Source organism: Homo sapiens, chromosome X, assembly GCF_000001405.40.
Source record: "Homo sapiens chromosome X, GRCh38.p14 Primary Assembly".
Classification (NCBI taxonomy): Eukaryota; Metazoa; Chordata; class Mammalia; order Primates; family Hominidae; genus Homo; species Homo sapiens.
Window position 1 is genome coordinate 48,015,047 of NC_000023.11, and position 8,615 is coordinate 48,023,661.

The 8,615-nt window shown below is 44.9% G+C and overlaps 1 annotated feature.

Annotated features, from left to right (window-relative positions):
* Positions 6,034-6,083: a silencer, noted in NCBI's record as "silent region_20813". NCBI's record gives its function as "represses an Ori minimal core promoter by ATAC-STARR-seq in GM12878 lymphoblastoid cells {active_cell/tissue: GM12878}" and the evidence as "EXISTENCE:reporter gene assay evidence [ECO:0000049][PMID:35858748]".

The window sequence follows — 8,615 nt, forward strand, 5'->3', positions numbered from 1 at the left end:
AAGGATGGATCTCAAAAACATTATGGTAAGTAAAAGAAGCCAGACCCAAAAGAATAATAATGTATAATTCCATTTATATGACATTCAAGAACTGGCAAAAATAATCTATGGTGATAGAAATCAGAAAGTCGTTAGCTGTGAATCAAGAGATAGTGATTGGAAGTGGCATGATGAAGGCTTCTGGGTGGCTTGTCATTTCCTGCTTTTTGATACAGGTATGGGTTACAAAGGTGTTTTCACTTGGCAGAAGTTCATTAAACCATATACTTTATACACTTTTCTCTGTATGTTCTGCTTCAATAAAAGGTCTGACCCAAAACATTTTTAACTAAGTTAGTTTTCCATACAAGGTTTTAAAAAACAGTAAGAGGGCCGGGCACAGTGGCTCATGCCTGTAATCCCAGCACTTTGGGAGGCTGAGGCAGGTGGATCACATGAGGCCAGGAGTTCGAAACCAGCCTGGCCAACATGGTGAAACCCCGTCTCTACTAAAAATACAAAAATTAGCAGGGCATGATGGCACGTACCTATAATCCCAGCTACTCAGTAGTCTGAGGCAGGAGAATGGCTTGAACCCGGAGGCAAAGGTTGCAGTGAGCCAAGATTGCGCCACTGCACTCCAGCCTGGGTAACAGAGCGAGACTCTGTCTCAAACAAAAAAAAAAAAAGAAAAAAAGAAAAAAGGAAAAAGGCCGGGCGTGAGGCTCACGTTTATAATCTCAGCACTTTGGGAGGCCAAGGCAGGTGGATCACCTGAGGTCAGAAGTTCAAGACAAGCCTGGCCAACGTGGTGAAACCCCATCTCTATTAAAAATCCAGAAAATATTAGCTGGGTGTGGTGGCGCATGCCTGTAACCCCAGCTACTTCGTAGGCTGAGGCAGGAGAATCACTTGAACCTGGGAGGGGGAGGTTGTAGTGAGCTGAGATCGTGCCATTGCACTCCAGCCTGGGCAACAAGAGCTAAACTCCGTCTCAAAAAAAAAAAAAAAAAAAAAAAGTAAGAGAAAGATTTAAAAATCCCACAGGAAAAAGAGTAGCATTTGGGAAAGAATGATTCACAAAAGAAATATGAAAAGAAAAACGTATGAAAAGATACTCAATTTCATTGACAAACACACACAAAAGAAATGAGATATTTTCAACTATCAAATGGCAAGGATTAGCTCTCCCTCTCCCTCTCCCTCTCCATCTCCCTCTCCCTCATCCCTCTCCCTCATCCCTCTCCCTCTCCCTCTCCCTCTCCATCTCCCCCTCCCCCTCCCTCTCCGTCTCCCTCTCCCCTTTGCACGGTCTCCCTCTGATGCAGAGCCAAGGCTGGACTGTACTGCCGCCATCTCGGCTCACTGCAACCTCCCTGCCTGATTCTCCTGCCTCAGCCTGCCGAGTGCCTGGGATTGCAGGCGCGCACCGCCACGCCTGACTGGTTTTCGTATTTTTTGGTGGAGACGGGGTTTCGCCGTGTTGGCCGGGCTGGTCTCCAGCTCCTAACCGCGAGTGATCTGCCAGCCTCGGCCTCCCGAGGTGCCGGGATTGCAGACGGAGTCTCGCTCACTCAGTGCTCAATGTTGCCCAGGCTGGAGTGCAGTGGCGTGATCTCGGCTTGCTACAAACTCCACCTCCCAGCTGCCTGCCTTGGCCTCCCAAAGTGCCGAGATTGCAGCCTCTGCCTGGCCGCCACCCCGTCTAGGAAGCGAGGAGCATCTCTGCCTGGCCGCCCATCGTCTGGGATGTGAGGAGCCCCTCTGCCTGGCCGCTCAGTCTGGGAAGTGAGGAGCGCCTCTTCCCGGCCGTCATCCCGTCTAGGAAGTGAGGAGCGTCTCTGCCCGGCCGCCCATCGTCTGGGATGTGGGGAGCGCCTCTGCCCCGCCGCCCCGTCTGAGATGTGAAGAGTGCCTCTGCCCCGCCGCGACCCCGTCTGGGAACTGAGGAGTGTCTCTGCCCCGCCGCCACCCCGTCTGGGAGGTGAGGAGCGTCTCTGACTGGCCGCCCAGTATGAGAAGTGAGGAGCTCCTCCGCCCGGCAGCCGCCCCATCTGGGAAGTGAGGAGCATCTCCGCCTGGCAGCCGCCCCGTCCGGGAGGGAGGTGGGGGGGTCAGCCCCTGCCCAGCCAGCCGCCCTGTCCAGGAGGTGGGGGGGTCAGCCCCTGCGCAGCCAGCAGCCCTGTCAGGGAGGTGGGGGGCAGCCCCCACCAGGCCGCCGCCCCGTCTGGGAGGTGGGGGGCGCCTCTGCCCGGCCACCCCATCTGGGAAGTGAGGAGCCCCTCTGCCCAGCTGCCACCCCGTCTGGGAGGTGTACCCAACAGCTCATTGAGAACGGGCCATGATGACGATGGCGGTTTTGTTGAATAGAAAAGGGGGAAATGTGGGGAAAAGAAAGAGAAATCAGATTGTTACTGTGTCTGTGTAGAAAGAAGTAGACATAGGAGACTCCATTTTGTTCTGTACTAAGAAAAATTCTTCTGCCTTGGGATGCTGTTAATCTATAACCTTACCCCCAGCCCCGTGCTCTCTGAAACATGTGCTATGTCCAGAAACGGTTAAATGGATTAAGGGCGGTGCAAGATGTGCTTTGTTAAACAGATGCTTGAAGGCAGCATACTCGTTAAGAGTCATCACCACTCCCTAATCTCAAGTACCCAGGGACACAAACACTGCGGAAGGCGGCAGGGCCCTCTGCCTAGGAAAACCAGAGACCTTTGTTCACATGTTTATCTGCTGACCTTCCCTCCACTATTGTCCTATGACCCTGCCAAATCCCCCTCTCCGAGAAACACCCAAGAATGATCAATAAATACTAAAAAAATTTAAAAAAAAATGGCAAGGATTAAAACCATGACAAGAAGATTAGAAAGGGTATTTTCATTCATTATTAGTGGGGGGTGTCAACTTGTACTAACTTTTCAAAAGGCAATTTGGCAATGTCTATGAAAGTTCAAAACGTGCCCACCTTTTGAACCAGACACTCTAGAAATGCTCACCACTGTGTACAAAGATAGATGACAAGATAAAAAAAAAACCAGGTACTGCTGAGGTTGTAGAGAAAAGGGAATGCTTATACACTGTTGGTGGGAATGTAAATTAACTCAACCATTGTGAAAAGCAGCGTGGCAATTCCTCAAAGAGCTAAAGAGAGAATTACCATTCAACCCAGCAATCTCATTACTGGGTATACAGCCAAAGGAATATAAATTGTTCTACCACAAAGACGCATGCATGCATATGTTCACTGCAGCACTATTCACAATAGCAAAGACATGGAATCAGCCTAAATGCCCATCAATGGTAGTCTGGACAAAGAAAATGTGGTACATATACACCATGGAATACTATGCAGCCATCAAAAAGAATGAGATCAGGCCAGGTGCAGTGGCTCATGCCTGTAATCCCAGCACTTTGAGAGGCCAAGGTGGGAGGATCATGTGAGCCCAGGAGTTCAAGACCAGCCTGGACAACATAACAAGACCTCATCTGTAGACCTCGTCTCTACAAAAAAATAATAATAACAATTTTAAAAAGAACAAGATCATGTCCTTTGCAGCAACATGAATAGAGCTGGAGGCCAGCAACATGAATAGAGCTGGAGGCCATTATCCTTAACACACTAACACAGGAACAGAAAACTAAATACTGCATGTTCTCACTTATAAGTGGGAGCTAAATGATGAGAACTAATGGACACAAAGAGAGGAACAACAGACACTGGGGCCTACTTGAAGGTGGAGGGTGGGAGGAGGGAGACGATGAAAAAAAAAAATAACCATTGGGTTTAGTACCTTGGTGATGAAATAATCTGTGCAACAAACCCCCGTGACATGAGTTTACCTATATAACCAACTTGCACATGTACCCCTGAACCTAAAATAAAAGTTAAAGAAAAAGACGACAAGAGAGATCACTGCCACACTGTAGCAGAAATTACACAGAAGTCCTTCAATATGGGGCTGATTAATAAATCGTAGTACATGCATACAAGAAAAAAAAGCATCTCTTAAAAATATCTCTATGTCCTGATACTGAAATACCTTCCATCAACAAGTGTTCATTAAGTAGGGGCTATTCCAGCTATGCCAGTGAGCAGCTGTGCAAGCCCATGCAATCTGCTTATCCACTCTGGTACTCAGCTTCCTTAGCTGTAAGAGGTAGATAAAAATGGTACCTACTTCCTAAGGTCATTGTGAGAATTAAAAGTGATCATGCATATATAATGCTTAGTATGGTGTCAGGTGCAGTGTGAGCTCACTACATGTCGGCTCTTGTTGTGTCACTTTTGTTATCATTATCATTTGTATTATCATTATCATTACCACTATGACCATTATTAATACTATTCTGGGCAAATGGAATGGCAAAACAGTTTTACATAATGAGCAGATTTTAGCAAAAGGAAGACATTTACATACGTATATATTTATATGTGTATGTAAATATAAAGAGAAAGAACAAGGGGGAGAGAGAGGTGTATAGGTGGAAATTAACCAAATTCATCAGAAATTGGTTATTTGGAATGAGTGGTGATATGAGATTATAAGTGAATTCCCCCTTTCAGATTGTATATTCCTCAAGAGTTTGGATTTTTGGTGTGCCACTTCTAAATCACTTCTGTAGGAAGAGAAAAAAATGACAAAATAATATAGACTTTCTTAAAAAGGGCAGAAGGGAAAGTACTGAACATGCTTAGGGACATCATGAATTCTGAGCCTAAAAAGGAAAAGGGCAGACCTTTGGGTTGCTCAGGCTGTTCTGAAACCCCAGATGTGGAAAAACTACATATAGATCAGAAAAGAATTTGAAGGGCATGAGGTTTACTGATTCTTCCTGATGATCAAGGTCCATATATTGAGCCAGAACATAAGAGCTATTTGTGCAGACATGGCTTTGATTTCCTGAAGAGTCACATATTTTTAGTTCTGCTTTAGCAGGACACCTTTGGTTGACATGCAGACATATTTTAAGTCACAGCAGAGCAATCCTATCTCTGTATTTATCACAAGATTGCTGATAAGGGACTTGGCTGACGCATCAGAGAACTGTCTTATCAAAGAAATCTTTGCTTCTGAGGAAGTGGCTTACTTTCTCTGTATGGGTGAGATAAATAAAGCAAATGAGCTTTTTTCCCCCTCTATGTTGTGGCTTCTAGGAAGCTCAGAAAAATAACTGTAGCTCAACATAATTATGTAGAATCCTATGATCTACATATAGACATTTCAACCTGGCCTTGGTTTTGCTCTACTTCCCTATTCCATTTTATGTGTTTATATGTATCCATTTTATGGTATTAATAATAGTATAATAATAATATTAAACTCATATATAAGACTTACGTATGTGCTAGGCATTGTTGTAAACACTTATATTGACTCAATTGATCTACACAACAACCATACAAGGCAGGTATTATTATTATTATCATTAACATCATCATCCCTATTTTACAGTTAGAGAAACTAAGGCACAAAGAGGTTAAATGACGACTCTGTCCGCAGACCACCAGCCCTCTCACTTCCGTTCGATGTAAACTCTCTGCCCCGCCTCATACCCTGCTCTGATGTTAAGATCCGAATGCTTATTCAGGCAAGGTCCCCTTGTGTTTCCAAAATCAGTCACAACTTCCTCTGACAGCCACCTTTTTCCGACCTTTATCCTGCATTAATTAGGTACTGCCAGTCACTATACTTGCTCATGCGCAGTACCGTTCCCAAAGCCGTCGGTGCTAGCAGCCAAAGTTGTTCTGTGGTTTTCTTTAATTTAATGATTAAATTTTTTTAATTGTACATATTTGTAGGGTGCAGAGTGGTATTTCAATACATGCATACAATGTGTAATGATCAAATCAGGGTAATTAGCATGTGCATCACCTCAAATATTTATCATTTCTTTGCGTTGGGAATATTCAAAATCCTCTCTTCTAGGTATTTGAAAATGTACAATAAATTATTGCTAACTATAGTTATTAAGCAGTGCTATAGAACACCAAAACTTTTTTGTTCCTTAACTGCAATGATTGTACGTATTTGGCTGGCAAGAAAAATGGCCGTGCCAGTAAACCAGCTTGTCAAGGGAGCAGGCATCTTTACAGCCCTTACCATTCCGTACAGGAGAGTAATATGCCTTTTAAAGTTTGGAAAAGATAGAACTCCGAGAGGACTTTGAAAACTTGGCGATAAAAGTGGGGCCCTTTGTGCAAAGCTAGTGACGGGCAAATTATGGGCGTGTTTGGGGGGGTTTCAAGAGAACGGGTATGTAAAAATGTTGAGTTCAGGACCACAGACCCCTCCGCCGGGAGATACCACTGCGGAGACGGGGGACGCCTGAAATGGTACGGACATCCCTGGTACCTATTACCGGGGAAAAAGGATGCAGAGCCGGTGATAATACATTCCTCCACCGGTCAGTATCAGTGGGGAGATGGGGAGAACGTGTGGAGCTGGTACTCCTCTCAAGAAAATAACAGTAGGGAGATAGATACTATTAAGCTAGCGGTGGCGAAGGCTCAGGTTGGTACAGTCCGTTGTGGGAGATACCACTGGTGCAAATAGGGAGGTGTGGTACAATCTGCCCACGGAGAAAGAAACGTGAAGAAAGTGACATTGGTAAACATAGGCGCAGGGAGAGTTGGAGACATAAGCCCAGGGATAAAGGGGCCCAGGTGAGGTGGAATATTAGTCGGAGACTAGGTGAGAAGACAGATCTGATCGCGACCCCGCCAGGACTACATTCCATCCTCCTCCTGGGAAACTGTTGCAGAGAGATTTGAGAGGGCGGAGATTCCAGGGTCCCAGTCCTATGAGGCCTCCCTGAGGCCTAGGGGAATAAACAGGAGACAGACAGTGATCAGGTTCCGGACCTCAAACACTCTCCCCTATTAATCATATTCTACCAATTGATCACCTGAAAGAAAATGCACAGGTGAGCCCTTTCAGCTTATTGCAATAGGGAAAACTTTTCTTAATGAGGAACATCCCAAAGACAAGGAAAGAGACCTCGGGTTGTATAGAGGCAGGTAAGCAAAAGAGTCATCCTTGAGTCATCAATCAGGACAGATAGAGATAGGTCTTATCTCAGAATGTGTAAATACATTAGGGACTACTATAGACTGAATTGCGCCCCTTCCCCCCCCCCCCCCCCATTCATACGTTGAAGCCCAAACTGTCAATGTGATGGTATTTGAGGATGGGGCCTTTGGGAGGTAATTAAGGCTATATGAGGTCATGAGGGTGGGGCCTTGGTCTAATGGGATTAGTGCCCTTATAAAAACAGACGTCCAAGAGTTTGCTCACTCTCTCTCCATTTGCACAAAAAAGAGGTGATGTGAAAACACAGTAAGAAGGCAGTTGTCTGCAAGCCTTATGGCTTTCTTTATAGAGAACCCTCACCAGGAACCAAATCAGCTGGCCCCTTCATCTTGGACTTCTCCCAGCCTCCAGAACTATGCCAAATAAACTTCTGGTTTAACCCGTCCAGTCTGTGGCATTTTATTATGGCAGCCCAAGCAGGTAATCCAGGGACTTTTGCAGTTAGCCCTTTGCTGGAACCCCAAAGGGAGCCAGGGGCTGTGAGAATTTTGTAACCATGACTGCTTTCCAGGAGCACAGGACCCACTCAGATATAAAGTAACAGCATCACTCCCCTTCCAGCTCACTCTGCCCCTCATGGCTCCTACTCCTTCCCACTCTACCAATCATTAACATGTATTCTCTCCCACGGTGCCCCCAATTTCCCGCCATTCAGTCACACTGCCATTTTCTTTCATTCATTCTGCTTCATGGCCACCATTCACGCATCTTGTACCCCATATAAACACCTTTCTTTTTATTGTGGTAAAATACACATAACATGAAACTTACTATTTTAACTATTTTACATTGCACAATTCAGTGCCATTTAGGACATTCACAGTATTGTGCAACCATTACCACTATTTAATTCCAGGCTGTCTTCACCACCCCAAAAGGAAACCTCATCCCCATTAAACAATCATTCCCTATTCCCCTTTCCCCCCAGCCCCTGGCTACCACTTAATCTGCTTTCTGGTGCTATAGATTTGCCTATTATGGATATTTCATATAAGTAGAATCATACACTTTGTGGTCTTTTGTGTCCGGCTTCTTTAACGTGGCATAATGTCTTCAAGGTTAATCAGTAACAGTACTTCATTCCTTTCTGTGGCTGAATAATATTCCATTGTATGGATATACTATACCATATTTGGTTTATCCACTCATCAGTTGATAGATATTTGAGCTGTTTCTACCTTTTGGCTATTATGAATAGTGCTGCTATGAACATTGGTGTGTAAGTTTTTGTTTGAATACCTACCTGTTTCCCATTTTATTAAGTATATAACTAGGAGTGGAATTGCTGGATCATGTGGTATTTCTGTGTTTAACTTTTTGAGGAACCACCAAACTGTTTCCTACAGTGGCTGCACCATTTTACTTTCCAACCAGCAGTGTATTAGGGTTCCAATTTCTCCACATCCTCTCTAACACTTGTTGTTTTGTTGGTTTTTATTGTAGCCATCCTAGCAGATGTAAAGTGGTATCTAATTGTGGTTTTGATTTGAATTTCCCTGATGACTAATGACAAATCTTTTCATGAGCTTATTGGCCATGTGT